This window comes from Homo sapiens, chromosome 11 (assembly GCF_000001405.40).
Source record: "Homo sapiens chromosome 11, GRCh38.p14 Primary Assembly".
Lineage (NCBI taxonomy): Eukaryota > Metazoa > Chordata > Mammalia > Primates > Hominidae > Homo > Homo sapiens.
The window spans coordinates 1,751,471-1,778,648 of record NC_000011.10 but is presented as its reverse complement, the minus strand read 5'-3'; the positions used below and the strand labels follow the sequence as shown (position 1 = coordinate 1,778,648).

Genomic DNA, 27,178 nt, shown 5'->3' with positions numbered 1-27,178 from the left:
CCCACCACTCCCTGCCCTTATGAGTCACTGCTCCAAAGAGAGGGGGTGTCACAGCCCCAGACCCGTTTGTCCAGCTGCCTGGGAGAGGCAGGGTACCACAGAGGAGCTGGCATCCCGAGAAAGGGTGAGTGTTGACTGCCACCACCGTCCCACCCTGGGGAACAGGCCTTTTGGCTGTGGGTGGGAGGTAGGCGAGGGCTGCAGGAGGGTGATAAGGCCTTTTCCTCGAGTGGGACCAGATCAGCCCACAGCAGAACAGGTTCTCCCAGAAGAGAAGGGAGAGCACATGCCCAGGCTCCATGGACTTCCGGTTCTCCCCTCCCTTCGCACCCCCACAATGAGGTCACGACGGGGTCAGTGTGGCCCTACCCTGGTGGCTGCACCAAGACATGGGGCAAGGATGTGGTGGCCCTTCCCGCTCCCTGTGGCTCTGCTGCAAGGACTTCTTGGGGTGGACTGAGGAGGCTTGGAGGCCAGATGGCCTGGGCCCCTTCTGGGTGGGGAAGTCAGGGCCCCTTTAGAATGGCTGGCCCAGTGTGAGGCTAGAGGGTGGTCACTGGCCACGTCTGGGGGTGGAGGTGAGTGCAGATGTTTGGACAGTGCCTGAGGCCCCTGGGGCCAGGGGAGGGCCCCTTGCTCCAACACCCTCCAGCTACTGAGGCACAAGTCATGCCTCTGTTCTGTGGGACATTCAGATGTCCCAAGAGCCCCTAGGGGAAAGCCACAGGCATTGCCCAACTCTTCCTGACACTCACAAGCCCAACATCAGAAACAAGCATCTCAGGCCAACCCAGCCTGTCTGAACTGGGGCAGAACCATCAACCACCAGGACCGCCCTAGCTAAACCAAGCAGCCCATTCCACCCAACCCAACACCAGAGGCCCCATCCCCACCACATCACCCTGATGGCTCCATCCCCCCAACTCAGCCCCCATGATCCAATCCCACCCAGCTCAGTCCCTGATGGCCCCATCTCACCCAACTCAGCCCCAATGGCCCCATCCCACCAGCTCAGATCCCATGATCCAATGCCACCCAGCTCAGCCCTCAATGATCCCATCCCACCAGCTCAGCCCCTGATGGCCCCATCCCACCAGCTCAGCCTCCCGTGGTCCCATCCCACCAGCTCAGCCTTCCATGGTCCCATCCCACCAGCACAGCCCCCTGTGGTGTCATCCCACCAGCTCAGCCCCCGATGGCCCCCTCCCAACAGCTCAGCCCCTGATGGCCCCCTCCCAACAGCTCAGCCCCCTGTGGTCCCATCCTACCTAACTCAGCCCTGATGGTCCCATCCTACCAGCTCAGCCCTGATCACTCATCCCACCCAGCCCAGCCCCAGCTCCTCAGCTCAGCCTTTCTCAGTGTATCCCTCTCCACCGCAAGCTTCAACACTCCAGTTCTGGAGCAGGGGGCTTCAGGATTCAGGCCCCTCCCCTTGCCCTTACTCCTCTGGCTTGCCCTTGTTTTCACACAGATGCCACCACCAGCTGGTCCCTTCCAGAGCTCTGTCTGAACTCCACCAGCCTTGCTTCTGGCCTCATCCTGCAGACCCAGGGGACACCTCCACTTGCAAGTTCAGTCCATGGGCACTGCACACTCTCTCGGCCCCAAGTTGAACCCCTTTTCCTCACCCAACATCCTCCATTTCAACAAATGGCAGCGTTGTGGGTAAAATAACACCTCCTTCAGAGACATTGACATCCTCATCCCTGACTTCGGTAAGATGTGGCCTTAGCAGGTCAAGGGGACCTTGACGATGTGACTCAACAGATCTTGAGATGGGAGGCTATCCTAGATTATTGGGGTGGGCCTCAGGTCATCACAGGGGTCCTTTGGAGGGAAAGGCAGGGGAGGAGGCAGAGAAGGCGATGAGAAGATGGAAGCAGGTTAGAGTGCTGGCTTTGAAGATGTGGGTAGGGCCCAGCCAAGGCCCAGCCAAGGCAACCTCTAGAAACGGGCAAGGCCAAGGAACAGGTTCACCCCTGGAGCCTCCAGAAGGAACCAGCCCTGCTGACACCTCGATTTCAGCCCAGCGACACTGAGTCTGGACTTCCGGCCTCCAGAATCGTGAGAGAATGACTATGTGTCGTTTTAGCCACCCACTGTGTGGGCAGCTCTGCTCCTATGGGACTCGCGCTGGAACCTGTCTGCCATCCTTATTTCTAGGAGAACCAGAGGGGAAGAAGTAAACGCTGCCGTCCCCCTCTCCATCCACCTCTCCATCCACCTCTCCATTCCCTCTCCATCCACCTCTCCATTCCCTCTCCATCCACCTCTCCATTCCCTCTCCATCCACCTCTCCATTCCCTCTCCATCCATCCACCTCTGCATCCCCCTCTCCATCCCCTCTCCATCCCCTCTCCATCTCCTCTCCATCCCCCTCTCCATCCCCTCTCCATCCCCTCTCCATCTCCTCTCCATCCCCCTCTCCATCCCCTCTCCATCCCCTCTCCATCTCCTCTCCATCCCCCTCTCCATCCCCTCTCCATCTCCTCTCCATCCCCCTCTCCATCCCCTCTCCATCCCCTCTCCATCTCCTCTCCATCCCCTCTCCATCCCCTCTCCATCCCCTCTCCATCCCCTCTCCATCTCCTCTCCATCCCCCTCTCCATCCCCTCTCCATCCCCTCTCCATCTCCTCTCCATCCCCTCTCCATCCCCTCTCCATCCCCTCTCCATCCCCTCTCCATCCCCCTCTCCATCCCCTCTCCATCTCCTCTCCATCCCCTCTCCATCCCCTCTCCATCCCCTCTCCATCTCCTCTCCATCCCCTCTCCATCCCCTCTCTATCCCCCTCTCCATCCCCTCTCCATCCCCTCTCCATCCCCTCTCCATCCCCCTCTCCATCCCCTCTCCATCCCCTCTCCATCCCCTCTCCATCCCCTCTCCATCCCCCCTCCATCCCCTCTCCATCCCCCTCTCCATCCCCTCTCCATCTCCTCTCCATCCCCTCTCCATCCCCCTCTCCATCCCCTCTCCATCTCCTCTCCATCCCCTCTCCATCTCCTCTCCATCCCCTCTCCATCCCCTCTCCATCTCCTCTCCATCCCCTCTCCATCCCCTCTCCATCCCCTCTCTATCCCCCTCTCCATCTCCTCTCCATCCCCTCTCCATCCCCTCTCCATCTCCTCTCCATCCCCTCTCCATCCCCTCTCCATCCCCTCTCCATCCCCTCTCCATCCCCCTCTCCATCCCCTCTCCATCTCCTCTCCATCCCCTCTCCATCTCCTCTCCATCCCCTCTCCATCCCCTCTCCATCTCCTCTCCATCCCCTCTCCATCCCCTCTCCATCCCCTCTCTATCCCCCTCTCCATCTCCTCTCCATCCCCCCTCCATCCCCTCTCCTTAGTATCTGTCGTCTGCCCTCTGTCCCATTCTTAATGCCGCTCTCTTAGTTCATCCCCTCGAACCCAGAGGACCCGGAGCCCCTGGCCACGCTGCAGGTGAATGACCACCCTACGCTCAGGCCAATCACTTCTCTGTCCTCTGTCCTTTCCTAGTCGACCATTGCTTGGGCTCAACCCTCACCTGCCCTCCCTCCAAAGCCTGCAGACCAGATGCTTCAGCCGCCCCCCTGCCGGAGGCCCTCCCCTTCACACCCCTGGCTAGGCCAGCACCGTGGGCCTGTCCGGCATGGCTGCCCGGCTTTCAAACCCCTGCAGGGCAGGACCCTCCCCTTGGGGATGCCTTCCCTGAGCCCATCTGTACTGGTCATGGTCCTCCAAAGAGACAGAACCAATGGGGTGTGATAGGTATATATGCGGAGAGAGAGGGATTTATTGTTTAAAGTTGGCCTGTGTAATTATGGAGGCAGCAAGTCTAAAACCTCAGGGCAGGTTGGAGACCCAGGGAAGAGTTGATGCCTCATTGTGAGTCCCGAGTCTGTCGCTGGCAGAATTCCTTCCTCCTCAGGGATCTCAGTCTTCTTTCTGTTAAGGCCTTCAGCTGATTGGCTGAGGCCCACCATACACTGGCACATCATCGGCTTTACTCAAAGTCTACGGATTTAAATGGGAATGAGAATCACCTCTGAAAAACACCTTCACGGAAACATCTAGACTAGCGTTTGCAAATATCTGGATACTGTGGCCCAGCCAAGTTGACACAGAACATTTCACCATAAGCATTTGCACGGGTAGTCCATGTACATTCGCATCCCTTCCTGGGCGCCGGGCTTGTCTCCCCAGTAAGCCAGGGCAGGGAAGCTCCCTCCCTGGGCCTCCCTGCAGCCTGGCTAAGCCACTCCTGTGCCAGATGCATCCCCTGGCTGGCGGGCCCCCATCACCCCTTTGACCTCACCTCATCACATCCTTTCCCACCTTCCTAGCCATGGAGGCCTCTCGGTCCCTCCAGCTCATTCCATTCTCAGGCTGGCTCCTGTCCGTCATTGAGGAAGGCCTTCAGTCATCCCTATAGACACCCCAACCTCCTCACTGTCTCTGAGGCAGCCCGGCCCCAGCTGTTCCCCTCAGCACACACCACAGTCTGGAACTACATCTCTTATTGGTTGAGCACTTGCTTTGGCTCCTATTTGCCCCATGAAGGCAGGTCTGCATCTGTCTTGTTTGTCCCCAGTGTGCAGCAGCCGCCGGCATCCCAGAGGTGCCGTGGATTTTGTTAAAATATGAAGGAAGAGTCCCCAACCAAGCTTGGGGGACAGTGAGCTGCGTATTCAGTTATTCCAGCTGCAGAGCCCAGTGGGCTCTGTGGCCGCCTGCCACGGTGCACCCATACCTGTGGGCTCCTGGGGTCTCCCGAGGCCTCCATGTGCCTGCCAGGCCCTCCCAGGGAAGCCATGATGGAGGAAGGCCATGGCTCAGGGCTCAGTCCTTGGAGCTGAAGCCCCTAATCCAGAGGGTTTGTGGGCCACTGGGACCCTGGTCTTTTCATCAGTGCCCTGAGACTGCAGCCCTCAGAGACTGCTGAACCCTAAAGCTTTTGGGTTTTTTCCTATTACACATTTGTGATCCTGGAAGGTCAGGTGCCCGAACAGGGTGTATGCAGAGGGTGGGGAGCAGGAGGTTAGCTTAAAAGGTCATCCAGTTCAACCCCAACTGATGACTGGCATCCGGCTCTCCTCCACAGCACCCAGGCCTGTCCAGCCCTGGGGGATGCCCAGAAACGCACACCCCGGCAGCCAGTGCAGAACTGGGCCCCACAGTAAGCTCAGGACTCGGGGGTGCTCATTTCTGGAGGCAGGTAGAGGTTGAGGCTCCTGGAAGAGGACACAGCAGAGGCCTCCAGCAACTGTGAGCCCTGCATGCCACTCCTCTTCCTTGCACAGAGAGACAGACTGAAGGTCAGGGGCAGCGGCCAGGGTGGGTGAGCTGGATAACCTCAGGGTGGAGGACTGGGGGGATGCTAAAGGCACAGTGCACCTTCAGCCAAGCTGGGTCCCTTCCCAGCAGGACACCCAGAGATGCCATGTCCTGGACCTGGAGGGAAGCCAGACAGCTGTGCCTGGGCACCCCCCTCCCCCTCCCCCTCCCCCACCTGTGCCCAGCACCCCTTTCCCCTCCCTGACCTGTGCCTGGGCGCCCCTCCCCCTCCCCCACCTGTGCCTGGACACCCTCTCCCCCAAACCTCGCCTGTGCCTGGGCACCACCTTCCCCTCCCCGACCCGTGCCTGGGCACTCCCTTCCCTTCCCCCACCTGTGCCCAGCATCCCTTCCCCTCCCCCACCTGTGCCTGGGCAGCCCCTCCCCCTGCCCTAACTGTGCCAGCCATTCACAGCCTCCACCTTTCCCCCCACCAGCCCCAGTCCTGTCCAAAGTCAGCTGACAAAAAGCTAATTCCCTCCCTGGCCTCCTCAACTGCTCTTGCAGAACTAAAGCTGCCTGTGGCTGGAGCCCCAGGGTGCCGCAGCCCCCTTTCTCTTGAGGGTCATGGTGGCCCCAGCTCTGAGAGTGCAGTGACTCAGCCCTAAGAGGAGGGAGGGGCAGGACTGGAGCAGGGGTGACTCAGCATCTCAGCCGCTCCCTCTCCTACCTCCTGGGGTTGGCGGGGGACTTGGGGAAGAAACCACTTCCCTGCTCCACACCCAGCGCCTGACCCCATCCAGGGAATCTGACCTTCAAGCCGTCCCTTAAGCCGTAGGGCTGCAGAAGGACCCCTTGCCCCCTTCCTTCCCCCGCCGAGGAACAGAAGTTATACACATACACGCACCCACACACACACACACACACACACACACACTGCCACCATGATCAACATCTTGCATTTGTGCAGCACATTTGTTATAAGTGATGATCACTGATGCAAGGATGCATTACTGTTAACTAACGTTCATAGTTTACAGCAGGGTTCGCTCTTTGAGTTGTACATCCTGTGGGTTTTGACAAATGCATAATGTCCTGTTCTACCATTACAGTATCATACACGGCAGTCTTGCTGCCCTAAAAATGTTCTGTGCTTCACCTATTCATCTGCCCTCCCCAAACCCTGGCAACCACTGATCCTTTCACTGTCTCCATAATTTTTCCTTTTCTAGAATGTCATAGAGATGGAATCAGACAGTATGTAGCCTTTACTGGTTGGCTTCTTTCACTTACGTTCCTCTATGGATTTTCATGGCTTGTAGCTTTTTTTTTTTTTTTTTTTAACACTGGGTCTCTCTCTGTTGCCCAGGCTGCAGCTCAGTGGTGCAATCTCAGCTCATTGCAACTTCCACCTCCCAGGATGAAGCAATCCTCCCACCTCAGCCTCTCCAGTAGCTGAGACTTCAAGCTCCCTCCAGCAGCCGAGCTGATTTTTGTATTTTTTTATAGAGATGGGGTTTCACCATGTTGCCCAGGCTGGTGTCAAATCCCTGGGCTCAAGTAATCTGCCCACCTCGACCTCCCAAAGTGCTGGGATTGCCTGCGTGAGCCCCATCCCCGGCCTGCTCATTTCCTTCTAGTGCTGAAGAATATTCCGATGTCTGGATAGACCACAGTTTGTCTGTCCACTCACCTCTAGGCAGACATCTTGGTTGCTTCCAGTTTTTAGTGACGGTGAATAAAACTGCTCTAAACATTCGTGTGCAGGTGTTGGTGTGAACATAAGTTTTCAACTCATTTATCGAGGTAAATATCGAGGCGGGCAGTTGCTGGATGGTATGATGAAAGTACATTTAAGCCTTGTAACAAACTGCCAAACTGTCTCCCAAAGTGGCTGCACCGTTTTGCAGTTCCGCCAGCAACGCATGAGACTTCCTGTTGCCGCACGCCCACCCCGGCATTTGGCGTTGTCAGTGTTTTGGATTTTGGCCATTCTTACAGGTATGTGGTGGTGTCTCACTGTTGTTTTAACCTGCAATTCCCTAACGACGTACGATGTTGAGCATCTTTTCGTGCGCTTATTTGCCAGCTGCATTTTTTCCTTGGTGAGGCGTCTGAGCAGACGATTTGCTCACTTTTTAAATTGGGTTATTTTCTTTTGTTAAGCTTTGAGAGTTCTTTGCCTATTTTGGATACAAGTCTTGTATCAAATATGTGTTTTGCAAATCTTTTCTCCCAGCGTGTGGCTTTTCTTTCCATTCTCTTTGGCAAGATCATGAAGGTGGCCCTCTTTGCCTTTTTCCTCCCTAAAGGATTTACCATTTACATCACATCCCTAACTGATCTAAAATTGAATGTTGTGTATGGTATGAGGGAGGGATCGAGACCCTTCCATTCCATTGCCTGAAAAGATCAGCCTTTCCTCCACTGCATTTCCATGTCACCTTGACACTGTATACCTGAGATTCCTCCTTCCTGTCCACCCATCTATCTTTGTGTCAATACCACACTGTCTTGATGATTGAATATGACAGTCATTCTCTCTTAAACTTCACCACCACCACATCACTAAAACAGGTCTTGTCAAGGTCAAATTGTGAAACGTTGTGGTGAATGCTCATCTTCCACAGGCCATCAGCAGAGCCACTCAACACAGCAGCCACTCCCTCCTTGAACCACTTTCTTCGGCCGGCTCTACGGGCCCCACCCTCCTGGCCTCTCCTGTCTCCAGATGGTTCCTCACCTCCTTTGCTGGTGCCTGCTCAATCCTCTAACCTCTTCTTCTTCTTCCTTTTTTTTTTTTTGAGATGGAGTCTTGCTCTGTTGCCCGGTGTGCTGTGGCACAATCTCAGCTCACTGCAACCTCCACCTCCCAGGCTCAAGCGATTCTCCTGCCTCAGCATCTCGAGTAGGTGGGATTACAGGCATCTGCCACCACACCCAGCTATTTTTGTACTTTTAGTAGAGACAGGGTTTCACCATGTTGGCCAGGCTGGGCACGAACTCCTGACCTCAAGTGATCTGCCCGCCTTGGCCTCCAAAAGTGCTGGGATTACAGGCGTAAGCCACCGCACCCAGCCTCAATCCGCTAACCTCTTAAAGTTGGGAGACCCCTGGGCTCAGTCCCTAGACCTCTTCTATTCTCTAGCTACACTCAGCCTGGTGCCATCCAATCTTATCACCACAACACATGGCACTGATGACTATCTCATGTCCGTCTCAGCCCCGACCTCTCCCTGGACTCACAACTCAAATCACTGCTGCCATGCAGCAGAATCACCTGGTTGCCCCACATGCTTTGTCTCAATCTGAAGCATCCAAAACTGAGCTCCTGGCCTTCCTCCCCAAGACTCTTACTCCTGCATCTGTTCCCATCTCAGCCAATAAAAGGCCATCCTTCTAGGGTTTTGGGTAGGCCGTGGAATGTCAGTATTGGCCCCTCCATCACACACCGTCAGTCCAATCTGTAACCGCCCAAGGGGTTCACCTTGCCTGCTGCCTGGACAGAGCCCATTCATCAAGACAGGGGAATTGCAATAGATTAATTCACGCAGAGCCAGCTGTGCAGGAGAGTGGAGTTTTATTATTACTCAAATCAGTCTCCCCAAGCATTCATGGAGCAGAGTTGTTGTTGTTTTTATTTATTTATTTATTTATTTATTTATTTATTTATTTCTATTATACTTTAAGTTCTAGGGTACAGGTGCACAACGTGCAGGTTTGTTACATATGTATACATGTGCCACATTGGTGTGCTGCGGAGCAGAGTTCTTAAGGACAACTTGGCGGTACGGGGAAGCCAGTGAGGCAGGAGTGCTGATTGGCCAGGGATGAAATCACAGAGGGTTGGAGCTGTCTTCTTGCGGTGAGTCAGTTCCTGGATGGGGGCCACAAGATCAGATGAGCCAGTTTATTGATCTGGGTGGTGCCAGCTGATCCGTCAAGTGCAAGGTCTGCAAAATATCTTAGGCGCTGATCTTAGGAGCAGTTGAGAGAGGGTCAGAATCTTGTAGCCTCCAGCTGCATGACTCCTAAACCATAATTTCTAACCCTGTGGCTAATGTTAGTCCTACAAAGGCCATCTAGTCCCCAGGCAAGAAGGAGTTCTGCTTGGGGAAAGGGCTGTTAACATCTTTGTTTAAACTATAAACTAAATTCCTCTCAAAGACAGTTCAGCCGACACCCAGGAATGAACAAGGATGGCTTGAGATTAGAAGCAAGATGGAGTTGATTCAGTTAGAGCTCTTCCGCTATCTCAGCCATAATTTTGCAAAGGTGGTTTCGAATAATCCACCTGGAAATTCTCTGGCCCTACCTCAAAAGTGCATCCAGAGTCTCACCCCTTCTCACTGCCTCTCTCTGACCTCGGACTGCTTCCTTTCCTCCCCACCTCCAGGCCGGCTCCCTTTGCCTCATGGCCTCTGCTCTCCTGTTCTCATGTCAGCGGCTCCTGACCAGGCCTTTGGTTTATTACCTCCTTCAAGTCTGATTAGAGCGCCTGGCGGGGTGGCTGACGCCTGTAATCCCAGCACTTTGGGAGGCCAAGGTGGGCGGATCACCTGAGGTCAGGAGTTCAAGATCAGCCTGGCCAACATGGCAAAACCCCATCTCTACTTAAAATACAAAAATTAGCCAGGCGTGGTGGTGGGCAACTGTAATCCCAGCTACTCCGGATGCTGAGGCTGGAAAACCGATTGAACCTGGGAGGGAGAGGTTGCAGTGAGTGGAGATCACGCCACTGCACTCCAGCCAGGGCAACAGAATGAAATTCCACCTCAAAAAAAAAAGGTCGATTAGAAGAGGCTTCTCTTCCCGCAGGGCCCTCCCCTGCCCCTCTCTGTGCCCTGCAGCAGCCTCCTCTTTGGTACGTTCCACTCCCCAAGCCCTGCGTGGGCGTCCCACCCACCCCCCAGCTTCATTTTAATCTCTGCCCCTCCACACACCTCCCCACCCCCACCCCTGTCTATATATGAACGGCACTGGGTGGGAATTTCCCTATTGTTTTCTCGATTTCCTAGAGCAGCGTCTACTCGTGGTAGGTGCCCGACACTCACATGTTGAGTGAATGAGCAGATTCTCAAGGCTCCCAAGGGACTGACCCATCCAGGCAGACCCTTTCCAGTCTGGGATTCAGCACTCCCCATGGAGAGGCAGGGTTGGGCTGACAGCCTCCAGCCCTTGCTTGCCCCTGTTAGGTGTCAGCATGCAGCGGGCACCCAGCAGGTCCGACTCCCTTCTCTGCCCCTTTCCTCTCGGGCACTTTGCCATCCTCTGATTCCCTGACTCTCCACACAGCCAGGAGGGAGCCGGAGAAGCCACGACCCCCGTCCTGTGGCTGGCTTCCCAGAGAGAAGCTTGGGGCCCCTCCGTGGTGGGAAGCTCAGTGGGCTGCGATGGCAAAGGCTGAGATGGAGCCTGGGCCTGGCCCCCACCTCCTGCCTCCTCTCCCCAGGTGGGCCGAGCACCCCACAGATGGAGCCCATGTCCCTGCATGCGGTCAGCCGAAGGGTGTGAAAGGTGAAAAAGGGCCCTGTCCCCTGCACTCTGCCAGAGGCGGGGCCTGGACACGCTGCAGCACCCACTGGCCCAGGAGCCCTGAAGGCAGCCCTGGTGGGAAGAGGGTCTCCTGAATCGGCCTGGCAGGTGCAGGAGTCTGGGGAATCTGAGCCAGACAAGGAGGCCAGGGGTCGCTTCTGTACCCTCAGCTCCTAGCAGGGGCAGGCAAGGGCTCCAGAGACCGTTAGCCCAACCTCAACTCTCCAGGGACAGAGGTGAGGCCCAGATTGAGAGGGTCTGCCCGGGTGAGCCAGAGGCAAGGGGATTAGAAGCCACTCCCTTGACCTTCACCCAATATGCCAGCAGGGTCCCACCCTGCCTGGTGGGTCAGTCCCTCGGGGACCCTGAACACCCAGGCATTCATCCCACACATAATTACTGGGCACCTACCACGTGCCGGGCTCTGCTCCAGGAGCTGGGAAGCTGAGCGGGCCCAGGCAGAATGCCCCCTCTGTAATAAACAGAATAACAGATGGTATCTGCGGTGGGGTGGGGCCTCTTCACCCTTGGGGCCCCGAGAGGGTCCTTGCTCAACAGTGCCCCGTTGTCTCAGGGGATGGTCCAAGGCTCTTAGCCTGGCTAGCACCGGCCCACACACCCCACAGCTCGCTGCCACGTTGTGCTTCTGGCCCCACTGGCCATCCGCACTACCCACTGGCTCGCAGCCTCACCGGCTCACCGGGACCTCTGGGTGGAGTGTCGGCCACGCTCTGTGGGCATGCGTCCTCACAGGTGCGTATCTCAGTATCCTGGACACCAAATGCTTCGTCCACCACTGGACCTGGGGACCGAGCAGGGTGGCTCAGGGGACACTAGCTGGGACCATCTTTCACCCCTTGCTGGAGTCCAGTCCCCCAGGGTCGGCTGACATCTCCAAGATCCCAGCCCACTGGAAAGCACGTGATAACCCCAGGTGCCAGGTCCAGGCTGGCCGTGGGCCCCCAACAGCTGGGCGGATTCTGAGGGCAAGGTGTGGACCCCCAGCAGCTGGGCAGATTCTGAGGGCAAGGGTGTCTGTCTGCTCGGGCTTCTGTGTTCAGGCTTAGAACCCCCTCAGATGAAGGGCTCTAAATGGGCGGGAAGGTGGGGCTGAGGGGGCAGCCACTCATTTGTGGCCATCAGGCAGATCCAGCTTCGGGGAGGTTCCGCAAGGGCCAAGGTCCTGATATATTTGGTTACAGAAAAGGTGGGAATTCCAATCCCGCCCGCCGAGAACCACAGAACCTCACTGCCTCTGTAAAGCGGGGTTGGGCCCATCTACCTCGCAGGGAGCTGGGAGGAGAAAACGCACCCTGGGTGAGAGCATGGGGAAGCATCCTTCATTTGGGTCCAAGCTCAGATGCCACCTTCTTGGAGGGACCTTCCTGCGGAGGTCGCTGTTGAGCACATCCCCTGGCTCCATTTCCTGTGTGACTTGGACCTGCCTTAAATGATTTGTCCCAATATCCCTTTCCTACTTACAGCGACCGCACCTCCCGCCTGGCTGTGTGCTCCAGAGCATCTGGGGAATGACCGGGCCCTCCCCTCCAACAGGCCTAATTCAGTCCCCCATGCCAGGCAGGACCAGGGCACACGAGAATGGTGAAGTCCTGGGGCAACTGTCACCATGGCCTCTGCAGGCTCAGTGTCGGGAGACCCAGTTTCTGACCTGGATACACTGCTCACCTTTGAGGTCGGGGCCTAGAGGGACGGTGCCACGTTGGAGACAGGCCTCCAGGGACAGTGCCACGTTGAAGACGGGGTTCCAGGGACGGTGCCACGTTAGAGATGGGGTTCCAGGGACAGTGCCACGTTGAAGACGGGGTTCCAGGGACGGTGCCACGTTGGAGATGGGGTTCCAGGGATGGTGCCACATTGGAGATGGGCAAGTCTGGGCTAAGGGAGGAGGGCCCAGGGTGGCCAGGGCAGGGCCCAGTGAGGTGCTGCTCTGAGGAGGTGGAGAGTGGGCGCTTGGGCAGGGGACACTTGGAGAGTAAGGATGAGGTCCATCTGGGTACCCTGGGTATAGGGAGTGTTGTTGAAAAAAAGCCAAACACTATAAAATATTTGAAGATATTTATTCTGAGCAAATGTGAGGACTATGACCTGTGAAACCACCTCAGCAGGTCCTGAGAATATGTGAGCAAGGTGGCTGGGTAACAGCTTGGCTTTATACTTTTTTTTAAAATTTTCAGGTCTTTTCTGTAGAGACAGGGTCTCACCATGTTGCCCAGGCTGATCTCAAGCTCTTCAGCTCAAGCAATGCTCCCACCTTGGCCTCCGAGTATGCTGGGATTATAGGCAACAGTCACCATGCCCGGCCTGGTTTTACGGATTTTACAGAGACAGATGTTACAGGCCAAAACCATAAATCAACATATGTAAGATATACATTGGTTCAGCCTAGAAACAGGGTTGGCAGGGGCAGCTTCCAGGTCATAGGGGATTCAAAGATTTCCTGATTGGCAAGTGGTTGAAAGAGTTATGTTTTGCCTAAAGAGTTAAAGTGGGATTACTCACGCCTGTAATCCCAGCACTTTGGAAGGCTGAGGCAGGCAGATCACCTGAGGTCAGGAGTTCGAGACCAGCCTGGCCAACATGGTGAAACACCATCTCTACTAAAAATACAAAACATATATACACATATACATGTATATATATATACACATATACATGTATATATATACACATATACATGTATATATATACACATATACATGTATATATATACACATATACATGTATATATATACACATATACATGTATATATATACACATATATACACATATACATGTATATATACACATATATACACATATACATATATGTATATACATATATAGTGTATATATATACGTATATATATGTGTATATATACACTATATATGTGTGTGTGTGTATATATATATATACATACGTGTGTGTATATATACATATTAGCCAGGCGTGGTAGCACGCGCCTGTAATCCCAGCTACTTAGGAGGCTGAGGCAGGAGAATCGCTTGAACCCAGGAGGTAGAGGTTGCAGTGAGCCGAGATCATGCCACTGCACTCCAGCCTGGGCCACAGAGCGAGATTCTGTCTCAAAAAAAAAAAAAAAAAAAAAAGAGTTGACGTGAGTGGACAAAAGGTGCCCGACCTCCTAAGGGAAGGAGCTTCTCTAGAAAACGCGAATTTCGCCCCCTCAAGAGACAGCTGTGCAGTGCCATATCAAAACATGTGAAAGGAATGTATTTTAGGGTGGAATACTTTGCCTGCCTTCGGGCCTGCTGTCTGCCACGTGAGGCTGTGCCAGTGTGAGGCTGGAATTTGGGATCTGGAGGCTAGAGCCATCGGTGAGGCCTGAGTCTCTAAGCACAGCGCCCAGAGGGAGAGGGCGGAGCGGGTCCGACCCCCTTTGCGGCAGGGCCTGAGCTGGTTTTCCAGGTTTCTCTGGAAGCCCTGTAGAGGAGCGGAGGGTCCATTCGGTGGGCTGGGGACTTTGAATTTAACCTTGGTTTGCAAGAGGCTTCCAGAGAGGATGTCTGGGAGCGTCTCGGAGGGGGACGAGGGGGCGCCGGGAGGAGCAGGTGCAGGAGCCCACGGCGCAGCGCCCCGCGCAGGCCTGGACGCGGGGACGGCCGCGGCGGCCGGGACAGGGGTCACCCCGCGGGGCCCTCCAGGGTGGGCCGCCCCACGACCCCAGGCCAGGCCGAAACGGGAATCCTCCAGACCCCAGAAGCTGGGCCGGGCTGACCCCGCGGGCGCGAGCGGCGGGAACTGTAGGCGCGGCAGGCGCACCACCACCCCGCCCCCCGCCCGGGCGCTGTGCGCGTGCGCCGAGGTTGCCCCGCCCAGGCCAGGCCCCGCTCCGCCCCGCCCCGCGCACGCCGGCCGCGCCCACGTGACCGGTCCGGGTGCAAACACGCGGGTCAGCTGATCCGGCCCAACTGCGGCGTCATCCCGGCTATAAGCGCACGGCCTCGGCGACCCTCTCCGACCCGGCCGCCGCCGCCATGCAGCCCTCCAGCCTTCTGCCGCTCGCCCTCTGCCTGCTGGCTGCACCCGCCTCCGCGCTCGTCAGGTGAAGCCTCAGGGGCCGGGGCTCAGGGACGGGCAGGGGTCGCGGCGCCGAGGTCCCGGGGCCTGTGGTGACTTTCGCGCTCCCCTGTGGCCCCCACGAGCCCCTTGCGCCCCCCGCGCTGGAATGCACCTGTGCCGCCCTGCGCGGCCTCCTGCACGGACCACCCGCCTACGGGGCGCCGGGCTCCGGAGGTGCAGGGGACCCGGGGCAGAGGCGCCAGATGCCTCTCCCCCATATGCCACCCTGGGTTGTACCTTGAGGACTGCAGACTGACCGCAGCCTCCCTGGAGACGGGGCGGGGCGGGGGGAGGTAGTGCTCATTCGGGGCAGGTGGAATTGGGGTCTGTACTGAGCGCCCTTGTTGCTGGAGACCTAGGTCAGGCCTCAGAGCCCCCGAGTCTGGGCGAGTCCATTTCCTTAGGGACCCCTTTACCACCTGTGAACTGGGGGCTTTAAAAGTTTGCTCCAGCGGCTCTTATCACAGGCCCTGGGCTGGGAGACCCCTCGAGACCCTAGGAGTTCCCATGTCCCTGAGAGAGGAGGAGGCATGGGGAGTGGGTCGGCTCACCCACCCCGGGCCTGGGGTTGTGCTGTAGTGAGGCCCACACGCTCCTCAGGCCGATCCCCTGTGCCAGGTGAGGCCACCGATTGGGCCTGGATGGGATGGGGCCCGGCCATGCCTGACCAGCTGGGCAGAGGAGGGCCATGCTGCAGTCTGCTTTCTTGACCCCCTCCCCAGCCCTTGCAAGGCAGCCCGCATTCCCAGGAGGGGTATGCTGACCCATCCCATTGGGCACCTGCCCCACCCTTGCTCTGGGCCTTTGTGGGAGACCTGGGATCTGCGATGGGTCCACTGCCTTTTGGCAGGTGGGTGAGGTCAGAAGGCTGCAGGGGCTGGAGCTGGCTGGGCCAGCTGGGTAGGACTGAGCCTCACCAAAGGCTGTGGGGAATGGCCCGGGGGCGGGTAGCCCCAATTAAAGTCGTTGTGGGGGAGTAGCCACAAGCCTGAGCCTGCCTTGACCTTGCCAGCCTATCCACAGGCCTCCCCTCTCCAAGGAGGACAGACACAGCAGAGGGGAAACGATCCTGGGGCTTCTTGGAGGGAAGGGTAGCTGAATCCAAGCCCTCACCCGATTCCAGCTCTTGTGCGACTGATACTATTACACCTGCTTCCTGGTCCCTGGAGGGCGTGTCCCTCCCCCAGGACAAAACCTGGAGCTCTTCCAGCCCACCAGCTCTTAGGCAATAATCTCATCTTCCGGGATCACGCCCCTGACAAGCCAGGAAAAGCCAGCTATGACCTTGTACTCTCAAGTCCCTGGGGCAGGGAAGAGGTTTTATTTAAGTGATTAAAAGCCCAGGGGAGCTTCCTTGGAACAAGGAGTGGGTTCACACCAAGGGGAAGGCCAGTGGCCCTGGGGGAGGAGCAGGGACCCCTCTCTCTCTTACTCGCTTCCTGGGTTTAGAACTCAGGACCCCGATCTCAGTCTGGAGCTCCCTCCTGCACCCTGGCTGGCGGTGTGCTGGGTGACAGGACTCTGGAGGGGTACCCTGAGTGCAGCTGTCGGAGGAGGCAGGGCGGTGGGGGGGGCAGCACAGAAGCCTCTAAGGCCCCAGGTGCAGTCCTGGACCTCGTGGAGCCGCATGGAGTGAGGAGAGGTGCGGATGCCCAGAAACAGATGTGGGATGAGGGCACTGGGCAGCCACAGGGTCCATGTGGAGGAGGACAGGTAGTCAAGGAGGGCTTCTGGAGGTGGTGTGGAGGGCCCATCTGATGGCCAGAGGAGGCCAGGCAGAGCTGCCAGTGCCAGCCTGGAGGTGGGGCCACCTTCGTGCAGGTGTCTGGGGGTGGAGAGCAGGTGTGATGGGGGCTGGGTACAGTGGGCTGCCTCAGAGCACTTTGGGCAGGAGTGACAGGTACCCGCCAGCACCCTGAGCAGCCATGCTGGCCACCATCCTGGAAGAGACCAGCGCAGGTGCAGAGGGAGGACGGGAGACCCTTGGGGGCTTTGGAGCCTCCAGAATGGCTGAGGAGAGGAGGGTTGGGCACACTGGCCCCCAGGTTGGGTGTGTGGGGCTGAGGTGGGTGGCGGGTGACCACTTCTTAGGACTGTGGCCTGTGCAACCTGGCGGGGGGCAATGGGTTGCCATTCACTGACTTGGGGGAGCTGGGCCAGCAGTTTCCAGGTGACAGGCAGGAGTTTGGTTTTGGCTGTGGCGACTCTGAGATTCCCCAGGGGCCTCCAGGTGGATGTGCAGCATTGGCAGCGTCGGCCGGCAGGCGGGAGGGCCTCCCTGATATGCCCCGACCCGTGGTTGACAGGATCCCGCTGCACAAGTTCACGTCCATCCGCCGGACCATGTCGGAGGTTGGGGGCTCTGTGGAGGACCTGATTGCCAAAGGCCCCGTCTCAAAGTACTCCCAGGCGGTGCCAGCCGTGACCGAGGGGCCCATTCCCGAGGTGCTCAAGAACTACATGGACGTGAGTATGAGGTCTTAGCCCTGCTGCAAGCGGAGCCACTGTCAGGAGAGCTCCGTGGCAGTATGGGGAACATTCCCACCTCCTGTTCTCAGCAGCGCAGTTTGAGTGGCTCACCTGGCCACGGTGGCGTCCCGGCTCAGCCACACTCCTTTCTTCCCCATTCTGGAACCTCCTGCCACTGGCCCCTGTCATTGCAGGGTCTTGGTCCTGCTAGGGCCTGGGAGGGTGATTGGGAGTGGCCTCGGGCCTTGGTGCCAGCTCGCCTGAGGGGGCGGTCCTTGGGCCTGCCTGAGTGTGGCCGGCTGACCTGGAGCCTTTCACTGCTGTCCTGCTGGGAGGCCTGTGGTGACTCGTGGCCTCCCCAGCCCCTCCCCATCTTCTTCCTCTCGCAACAGCCCCTCCTGTGCCCACTACTCCTTCAGGGGGAAGCAGGATCCAAGGTGGAGCACTCTGGAAGCCACCTAGCAAGCTGGGGCTTGGTCAGCCTGGTCCCAGCTCTATGGGGTCAGTTCGAGGCCAGGGCCTACTGTCCAGCCTCGGGGCTCTGGCCCACTGTGGGGGAGCCTTGCCCTCTGTCCTGCTTGGCCCGAGTCCTGGCTGTGACAGGAAGCCCAAGACTCACAGGCATGTGACTGGGCCAGGGGGGCCCTGGGGGGAACCAGGCGCCGTGTGCCTGGTCCCGACTGGCCAGTTCCTGATTGTCCTAGCGCGCGAGCAAGCAGATGCACGCATGCGCACACATGCACACACACACATGGAAATTTGCTGAGTGTCCCCCTGCCAGTGGTCACTTCTGTGGGGCCATGAGTCAGCAGCTGCTGCTGCTCCGTGAAGCCAGGCGGTTGGAGAAACATTGGGCTGGGCTGGTGCCAGGAATCTGGTGGCTGACGGTGGCCCAGGCTCCAATCCTGGGGGAAGCGGGCGCCCAGGCGACCCCAAACTCCAGGACCCTCTTACTCTCTGCCTCCTGAGAGGCTCGGCGGCATGGGACCCCTTGTACTTGCCTGATCCCTGAGTCAGCACCCCCACCTGCGCCTGCTATCCCTGTGTACACACGGGGAAACTGAGGCCCTGGGCCATTAAGGCAGGGTTGCTGGGCAGGCAGTGATTGTAAGGCTTACCTTCTCCCCTTGACCAGCTGAACCCCTCTGCCTGGAAGCCCTCCAAGCCTGGGGTTCACCCTGGAGGGCAGGGCAGGCACTGAGACACCCAGAATCAGACCTTGACATGGCCCCAACCTGGGGAGGAAGTCACTTCCTTTCTCAGACCTTGGACTGCGGGCCACCAGGGGAGTCTTCCAGGCCGGGCTTTCCTGCACCCGGGGCTCAGGCTGAGGGCCACGTCTGTCCCCACCCTGGCTTGACCTCTGGCCTTGTCTTTTCCGTGGGGAAGTCCTCAGCCTCACCATGTATTGAGCAGGGGTAGGTGACAGAAGCCAGGGGTCTAGAGACCCCAAGTACCCGTGGGCATTAGGACCGAGGGCTGGGGACCTGGCCCATCTTCCCTGCAGGCTGAGCAGGTGGGAGTGGGTGGCTGTTGGCAGCTGTGGGCCCCGTGATGCCCCTCCCTCCAGTATGGGCCTTGGCTCTGGGGACAGCCGGGCCTTCTGAGGCCCAGTGGGGAGATGGGGCCCCCTCTCCCATCCCTGACGGACCCTGTCCCCTGCCAGGCCCAGTACTACGGGGAGATTGGCATCGGGACGCCCCCCCAGTGCTTCACAGTCGTCTTCGACACGGGCTCCTCCAACCTGTGGGTCCCCTCCATCCACTGCAAACTGCTGGACATCGCTTGCTGTGAGTCACGAACCCTGGCCCCGTCGCCCAGGTCCTGCCCTTCCGGGATGTCGCTGCAGGGCTGCCTCAGGAATCACTTGGGCAACGCAATTCTCCTGCCTCTTGGCCCCGTGAGCCAGGCCAGCCCTCCACCCTGCTCCAGCCACTGACTTTCTGGGTGAACCACCAGCTGTGGTCTTGCTCTCAGCAGGGCTGGGGCTGGGGTGGCCACAGAGGGAGCCGGCTGTGGCTGGGAGGGAGGCCCGGGGTCACAGCCCACAGTCCCGGGGCTCTGGCATGATGGTGGGCCTCAGATCCCCTCCAAATCCCACCCTGGGGAGGCAGCTTGGGGGGTGCGGGCTCCATGGTAGATTGTAGGGGGATGGGAGGGCTAAGGCCGTGGCGTGGGCTGCGGGATGACCGGCGGGCCCCCTTGTCGCCCGGGGCAGGGATCCACCACAAGTACAACAGCGACAAGTCCAGCACCTACGTGAAGAATGGTACCTCGTTTGACATCCACTATGGCTCGGGCAGCCTCTCCGGGTACCTGAGCCAGGACACTGTGTCGGTGAGTCCCTCTGGGGCCTTTCCCAGGACTCGAGGGTGCCAGGGTGTGGGGTTCACCCACCGTGGGTATGTGGTTGAAAGGGAGGGCTCGGTGATCCCAGCCCAACCCCAGCCCTCAGGTGGCCGGGGCAGTCAGCAGGGTGAGGAGGGGTCTGGGAATGGGCCTGGTTGTGTGCAGGCTGGAGGGACAGCCTCAAACCCAGGGGGTACAGGGGCAGGGGTCCCCGGAGTCAGGCCACAATGAGTGGGAGGGAGGACAGGGCAGATCGATCGGGCTCTTTTTGGCACATTGGGTTTGAGGTGCCAGCAGGTGTTGAGGGCTGGACCTGGGGCTGCACAGGGTCCCTGCAGCAGGCCGAGGGCTTGGGGAGGCTTGGGGTTGGGAGGATGTACCAGGAACCCGCTGTGGGGGCTGCTGGCGGAGAGTCACCGGCAGGAGCCTGGGAGGGCAAGGGAGGGGGAGCAGCAGTGGCTGTTGGGGGCCCCGCCTGCATCCACCATCCTCAGGGCCCTGTGCAGAGCAACTCCCTGCCCTAGGAGAGGGTGAGCTGGCCCTTGTCACCCTGCCTGGGCCTCAGTGAGTTCTCACCTCGGAGCTGTCTGCTGGGGGTGGACCAGGCCACAAGGGGTTCAGGAGTTACGGGATGGTGACACAGCCCCCAGCTCTGGAGCGGGCCAGGAGGGCAGCAGAGCCCCCCTGCAGGCCCAGGGACCCGGGAAGAGGGCCCCTTCCTCCAGCTGAAGCTGCTCCTAACAGTTCCCTGCTGGGCTGGAGTCCAGTCTGTACTGGGGGCTCCTCAGAGCCCTCCTGTCTGGACCCTGCTCAGCCTGAACAGGAAATTGCCCCGTCTGCCCTCTTCCGCCCTCTTCTGCCCCCTCCGCCCCGTGTCAGCCTCAAGCTGTCGTTCCCTTCCCACATCCTGCTCTGGCCGTGTTCTCTCTCTGCAGCCTCATCCAGGGCTGGGGGAGGGGACAGGCAGAGAAGGGGAAGGGGGCAGTATGGCTGTGAGCTTGGGATGGGGTCGGCAGGTTCCCCATCTCTCGGGCTCCTGGCCCAGGCTGTGTCTTGTTCCCAGCGCTGAGGGCAGGAGCAGGACCTGCCTGTCATTGGTGGTGGGAGTAAGAGGTCGGAGCAGGGAGCGGAGCAAGGGGCCTGCCCGTCTGTGCTCCTGCCTGGTTCCCATCTCGTGTAAACCGAGCCCTGATGACTTCCACGAAGAGGGCCCCGCCATACCCCGTGTCCCCATCCCCAGCGGTGTTCAGCTCAGGGTTTCCAGCCCTTTCTTCTGGGCCCTCTGGGCCCCATCGTGTGTGGGATGGGCATCCATTGAACTGGGTTTTGTAGCCTCATGCTCAGGGAGTGGTGTAGGGCTCAGCCTGTCTGCTGCCCACTGACTCTGCCCTGGCCTGCAGGTGCCCTGCCAGTCAGCGTCGTCAGCCTCTGCCCTGGGCGGTGTCAAAGTGGAGAGGCAGGTCTTTGGGGAGGCCACCAAGCAGCCAGGCATCACCTTCATCGCAGCCAAGTTCGATGGCATCCTGGGCATGGCCTACCCCCGCATCTCCGTCAACAACGTGCTGCCCGTCTTCGACAACCTGATGCAGCAGAAGCTGGTGGACCAGAACATCTTCTCCTTCTACCTGAGCAGGTGGGCGTGTGGGTTCCCTCTCGCTCCGCGTTGCTGGGAGGCAGGGCGGGGCTGGACGGGGAGCCTTCTAGGCACCCCCTCTCAGTGCTGCCCCCTCCCTGCTGCTGTGCCAGAGCTCCTGACCTCTGACCTCAGGGCATCCGGGAGGCGGGGGTTGGCCGCCCTTCTGCAGAGGAGTAAGCGGCAGCACAGAGAAAGCTGTTTGGCCGGGGTCTCCCAGTGGGAGGGGCTCGGGCCAGGCTGTGGGTCCTGGGACCTTGGCAGCTGGGCCTCCCTCCTATGAGAATGGACCCAGGTCAGGGGTCGTGGCAGTTCCTCTTGGTTCAGTCGGCCCGTCGGTCCCCAGACCTGGTGATGGGCACATGTGGTCCTGGTCCCGGGGTTGCTGATGGTGGAGAGGGTCATGGTGCCCAGGGGACCGGGGATCCCCGGGGAGGTGACCTTGGGTGCGTATGGGTCCCCGGCACCACGCTGCGAGCAGCTCTGTGGGCGTCCCCAGCAGGTGCCGGCTGCCCTCGAGGAGGAACATAGGGGGCCCTTCCTTCTGGGAAAAGGGTTCTCCCCCAGGGCCCCCACCTGCAGCCGCTGCTCCAGCTTGGGTGACCCATGGTCAGGTGACCTTGGGAAGGGGACGTCGGACTCAGTTAGTTTCCTCTTCTCGGGGCAGACCTGAGTGGAGGGTTCCACATAAGAGGGGTGACTGGGGGTTGGGGGCTTTTGTTTTGGGGGTGGGCAGCGTGTCAGCCGGCGGCCTCCTGCCCTGAGCTGCGCCTGGTCACTGCCCCACACTCTCCAGGGCTGACAGGGGCAGGTTTACCTCACGTGGCTCACTTGGCACTTGGAGTCTCTGGGCCTGACCCCTAACCTTGGATCGCTTCCGGCAGAATTCCGGCTGTAGGGCTGGCTGGGCCTCTTTGCTCTGCCCCTTGCCTGGGCAGTGAATACTCCTTAGCAACACCCAGGGCTAAGCTGCTCACTAGAGGCCAGGACACAGGTGAACCGGCTGGGCCATTTCCCCAGGAGCCTTGGGGCACAGGGGAGGCAGCCAGGTGAAAAGGGGTCCCCTGAGGGCAAGAGGGCATGCAGGCATGAGTGCCCACATGGGGAGGGGGCACACAGCCTGAGTACCCAGGTCAGGGAGGGGGACACAGGCATGAATGCCCATGTGGGGGAGGGGCACACAGCATGAGTGCCCATGTGGGGGAGGGGCACACGGTATGAGTACCCAGGTCGGGGGAGGCATACACAGGCATGAGTGCCAGGTGGAAGGAGGGGCACACAGAGTGAGTGCCCAGGTGGGGGAGGTGCACATGGTTGTGAGTGCCCAGGTGTAGTCTCAAGGCAGCAGCTTGGGCAGGAAGTGGAGCCAGGCAGGAGGGAGGGTCTGAGGGCTTCTGAAAGCATGTTTGGTGAGGAGAGGAGGGGTGGGAGGCGCTGATCAGGTTTCTACACTTGGGATTGCAGAGGTGTTGACAAGAGGCAAAGGCGGAGGAGGCTGGAGGAGGGCGGAGGCCCCAATCGGTGTTGGGAGGACTGGGTCAGGCCTGGCACTGCCTCGAGTGACAGGCAGTGGGATGGTGGCCAGCTTAGCTGCAGACGCTCTGGCGGGATGGCAGAACCGCCCCAGACACAGAGAGCTTCTCTACCAGGACCGGCAGGATTTGCTGCGTTGAAAGCTGTACTTGAGCAATGTTTAGAAACAAACCCGGGCGACATGGGTTGCAGGTCCTAGGAAGTGCAGTGCGCTCCTGCCCAGGAGCACCTTGGCTGGCCATCAGTGGTCTGGATGAGGGGGAGATGAGCGGACGTGGCTCGGGGATGCAGGTGGAGGGTGTTCCCAGGAGCAGCCAGTGCAGAGGCCCTGCGGCCAGAACCAGCCATCCCAACTTCCCAGATTGTGCCATCACTCCCTCCTGGAAGCCTTCTTTGGTTTTTTCTTCCAGACAGACAGACAGGGTCCTCCCCAGTGGAGCTCCTGGCACTCACTTCCTTGTCTGCCGCTAGCCTTGACCCTGATGTCTGGCTGAACCTTGGCTCCTGAGCAGACCAGGAGAACCTGAGGGTTGAGGAAAACCTCTTCTGGGCCAGGCTGGGCCCACGCAGAGCAGCCCTACCCCGGGAAGAAGGGAGTCTGTCCCTCCTCCTGCCTTCTGGGCCTTTCCATCCCTGCAGTTTCAGAAAGGCCCCTCCTTCAGGAAGCTCTCCCTGATTGCCACATTCACCCTCTTACTCCTGACCTGGCACTCTTGTGCTTGGGGGGTGGCGTGGCAGCTGACTCCTCCCTTTTCCTCCTAGGGACCCAGATGCGCAGCCTGGGGGTGAGCTGATGCTGGGTGGCACAGACTCCAAGTATTACAAGGGTTCTCTGTCCTACCTGAATGTCACCCGCAAGGCCTACTGGCAGGTCCACCTGGACCAGTGAGTAGTGGCTGCAGTCGGCTCCCCTGGGTTCTGTGGGCGGGGGCGGTGTGCGGAGACCCTGGAGGACCCCGGTTCTGCAGGTGGGGGTTGCATGTGGGGAGTAGTGGGAGCTGGGCAAGAAAGAGATGGGGTCAGACCAGCCCTCCATGCCCCTCCTTGCCCCTCCATGCTCCCCATCACCTCCATCCCCTCTATTCCCTCTATCCCTCCATCCCTCCATTTCCTCCATGCCTCTGTGACTCTCCATGACCCACCATCCCTTCTGTCCATCCCTCCATGCCCTCCATCCCCTCCATCCCCTCATCCCTCTGTGACTCTTCATGACCCTCCATCTCCTCCATCCCTCCATCCCCTCCATCCCTCCATCCCTCCATCCCCTCCATCCCTCCATCCCTCCATCCCCACATCCCTCTGTGACTCTCCATGACCCTCCATCCCCTCCATCTGTCTATCCCTCCATCCCTCCATCCCTCCATGCCCCTCCATCCCTTCATCCCCTCCATCCCCTCCATCCCTCTATGCCCCTCCATCCCCTCCATCCCTCCATGCCCCTCACCACCACCTGAGGGTCTCCCACCCCCTCTACCACTCTGTGTCTCCTCTCCCACCCTCTTCCCTGGAGGGCTTACAGCCGGCTGTGCTTCCAGGAGCCCTGAGGGGAGGAGAGTGCAGCCCAGCCAGGGGAGGGGCTCCCAGGGAGGGGCACTGGGCCCCCAGGGCACACTCCAGTCCCGGCAGGGGCTTCACGCCCTGACTCCCCGCAGGGTGGAGGTGGCCAGCGGGCTGACCCTGTGCAAGGAGGGCTGTGAGGCCATTGTGGACACAGGCACTTCCCTCATGGTGGGCCCGGTGGATGAGGTGCGCGAGCTGCAGAAGGCCATCGGGGCCGTGCCGCTGATTCAGGGCGAGGTGAGCGCCGGGGGCTGGGGCTGGGGCTGGGGCTGGCAGGGGGAGCCCCAAGGCCACCACTACCACCCTGACACTGCTGTGACCCCTCTTAGTACATGATCCCCTGTGAGAAGGTGTCCACCCTGCCCGCGATCACACTGAAGCTGGGAGGCAAAGGCTACAAGCTGTCCCCAGAGGACTACACGCTCAAGGTGAGCGGGCAATGGGGTGCCGCACGCCCCAGGTGAGCGGGCGGTGAGGGGGCGCACGCTCCAGGTGAGCGGGCAACAGGTGGGGGGGCGGGTGGTGCTAGGCCTGGGTACTGACCACCAGGGCCGTCCCAGGTGTCGCAGGCCGGGAAGACCCTCTGCCTGAGCGGCTTCATGGGCATGGACATCCCGCCACCCAGCGGGCCACTCTGGATCCTGGGCGACGTCTTCATCGGCCGCTACTACACTGTGTTTGACCGTGACAACAACAGGGTGGGCTTCGCCGAGGCTGCCCGCCTCTAGTTCCCAAGGCGTCCGCGCGCCAGCACAGAAACAGAGGAGAGTCCCAGAGCAGGAGGCCCCTGGCCCAGCGGCCCCTCCCACACACACCCACACACTCGCCCGCCCACTGTCCTGGGCGCCCTGGAAGCCGGCGGCCCAAGCCCGACTTGCTGTTTTGTTCTGTGGTTTTCCCCTCCCTGGGTTCAGAAATGCTGCCTGCCTGTCTGTCTCTCCATCTGTTTGGTGGGGGTAGAGCTGATCCAGAGCACAGATCTGTTTCGTGCATTGGAAGACCCCACCCAAGCTTGGCAGCCGAGCTCGTGTATCCTGGGGCTCCCTTCATCTCCAGGGAGTCCCCTCCCCGGCCCTACCAGCGCCCGCTGGGCTGAGCCCCTACCCCACACCAGGCCGTCCTCCCGGGCCCTCCCTTGGAAACCTGCCCTGCCTGAGGGCCCCTCTGCCCAGCTTGGGCCCAGCTGGGCTCTGCCACCCTACCTGTTCAGTGTCCCGGGCCCGTTGAGGATGAGGCCGCTAGAGGCCTGAGGATGAGCTGGAAGGAGTGAGAGGGGACAAAACCCACCTTGTTGGAGCCTGCAGGGTGGTGCTGGGACTGAGCCAGTCCCAGGGGCATGTATTGGCCTGGAGGTGGGGTTGGGATTGGGGGCTGGTGCCAGCCTTCCTCTGCAGCTGACCTCTGTTGTCCTCCCCTTGGGCGGCTGAGAGCCCCAGCTGACATGGAAATACAGTTGTTGGCCTCCGGCCTCCCCTCTGTGCTGGTGTGCTCTTGTGCCTGGTCAGGGGTGGCTCCAACTTGGGATGGGGAAGGAGGGTGGGTAGTGCGAAGCCAGCACGGCAGCTGACTCGGCAGCACCGGGACAAGCATTTGGGGTGCCCCGGGCCTATGGCCCCCTGCCCTGCCCTGCCCAGCCCATGGGCTCCAGCCTGGTCGGCCAGCGGGGACTGACTTGTTCCCAGGTCTGGAGCAGTAGCCGGCAGGATGTGGCCTTGGCTGGGGTTTCAGGGTGTCTAGTGTGAGTGCCAGCCTTGAGGAGTGATTTCAGGGAGGTGGCCCAGCCAGGCAGCCACGGCACTCGAACAGAGGCTATTTCTGCTCTCGGGGACCCTCAGAGCAGGCCTACCAGTCACCCTCCTCAGCCCTCTTGTCCCGGGAAATAAATGGCCCCAGGTGGCGTGGGGGGGCTGGCCTAGCTGGGCCTTCTTGCCTCCCAGGCCCTAGAAGCGGTTTTGTGTGCAGTGAGCTGAGCTGGCACCAAGCAAGCCTGCCCAGGGTCCCTGGTTGCAGGGATTGGACTCAGAAGTCCCCTCCAGCCACAGCTGCCACAGTCACGGATCCCCGGGCTGATAACGCGGTGCGCTTGTTCCGCTGGGAGGGGAGGGGTTGGGAGCGTGTGCCCGGATGCAGTGGTAGCAGCCCCTGGGGTTCTAATAGGTAAGTAGGAGTTTGTGGGCATGTGGTGGTGGGAGCAGAGTTCCTTTTGGGATCAGTAGCTCTGGAGTCACTTAGAGCCCCCTCGAGCCCCACCCCAACAGGTTAGAAGATGAGGCAGATGTGACATTTGCCATTATCTTGATGCCTCTGCCTGAGGGTGGTGGCTGCCTTGGCCTTCCTCCCAAGGGGCTGCAGGGCTTTCACCCCAGAGCCATGCTACGGCAGACACCTGGAGCAAGAACATTTACCCAGGGTGGCACGGAGGCTTGGAAACACATGCCTGGCGTTTGGCATGCCTGAAATCTGAGCAGAGCTGGGCAGAACTCTGCAGGGCCTGGCAGGGCTTCTGGGGAGACAAATGTCCTGTCATCAGATGCTTTGTGCACTGAGGCCTGGGAGGGCAGAGAGGTACAAGGAGGCAGCCATACCCTGTTGTCCCTGCCCTGTCCCACTCTCCCCATCTCCCTCCTTCTGCAGCTTGTCAGCTCCGTCCAGCTCCCATCTTCATGGCTGCTGCCCTGGGGTTGCTCCGAGGGCTCCCTCCAGCCCGGCAGGATTCTCGGGGCCCTGGAGTCTGACCCCGGGTTCCTCCGTGGTTTTCTA

General features: G+C 59.6%; 1 protein-coding gene and 2 long non-coding RNA genes across 3 annotated transcripts, besides 2 other annotated features; 2 read left to right on the top strand and 1 right to left on the bottom strand.

The window, feature by feature from the left end:
• Positions 1-68: 68 nt before the first annotated feature.
• Positions 69-7,283, top strand: LOC105376517 (uncharacterized). The gene is made up of 4 exons (XR_002957212.2): positions 69-124; positions 1,475-1,718; positions 6,627-7,063; positions 7,149-7,283. It is a non-coding gene; the product is annotated as an uncharacterized LOC105376517 (long non-coding RNA).
• Positions 14,343-14,812: a silencer, noted in NCBI's record as "silent region_3058". NCBI's record gives its function as "represses an Ori minimal core promoter by ATAC-STARR-seq in GM12878 lymphoblastoid cells {active_cell/tissue: GM12878}" and the evidence as "EXISTENCE:reporter gene assay evidence [ECO:0000049][PMID:35858748]".
• On the top strand, positions 14,722-25,894 carry CTSD (cathepsin D). The gene is made up of 9 exons (NM_001909.5): positions 14,722-14,857; positions 17,181-17,340; positions 19,010-19,133; positions 19,562-19,680; positions 21,093-21,325; positions 23,621-23,743; positions 24,511-24,655; positions 24,748-24,846; positions 24,979-25,894. Exons 1-9 carry the CDS (start codon positions 14,790-14,792, stop codon positions 25,144-25,146), a joined length of 1,239 nt encoding a protein of 412 aa, NP_001900.1. The 5' UTR covers positions 14,722-14,789; the 3' UTR covers positions 25,147-25,894.
• Positions 15,063-15,152: a silencer, noted in NCBI's record as "silent region_3057". NCBI's record gives its function as "represses an Ori minimal core promoter by ATAC-STARR-seq in GM12878 lymphoblastoid cells {active_cell/tissue: GM12878}" and the evidence as "EXISTENCE:reporter gene assay evidence [ECO:0000049][PMID:35858748]".
• On the bottom strand, positions 16,163-18,301 carry PRADX (PRC2 and DDX5 associated lncRNA). The gene is made up of 2 exons (NR_182291.1): positions 17,455-18,301; positions 16,163-17,330 (listed from the first exon to the last, which is right to left on the bottom strand). It is a non-coding gene; the product is annotated as a PRC2 and DDX5 associated lncRNA (long non-coding RNA).

Bases quoted from the DNA above. Each gene is read 5' to 3' on its own strand.
- CTSD (NM_001909.5), top strand. From the start codon at position 14,790: ATGCAGCCCTCCAGCCTTCTGCCGCTCGCCCTCTGCCTGCTGGCTGCA. The intron at 14,858-17,180 runs GTGAAGCCTCAG...CGTGGTTGACAG, and splicing joins CCCGCCTCCGCGCTCGTCAG to GATCCCGCTGCACAAGTTCA. The intron at 21,326-23,620 runs GTGGGCGTGTGG...TTTTCCTCCTAG, and splicing joins TTCTCCTTCTACCTGAGCAG to GGACCCAGATGCGCAGCCTG.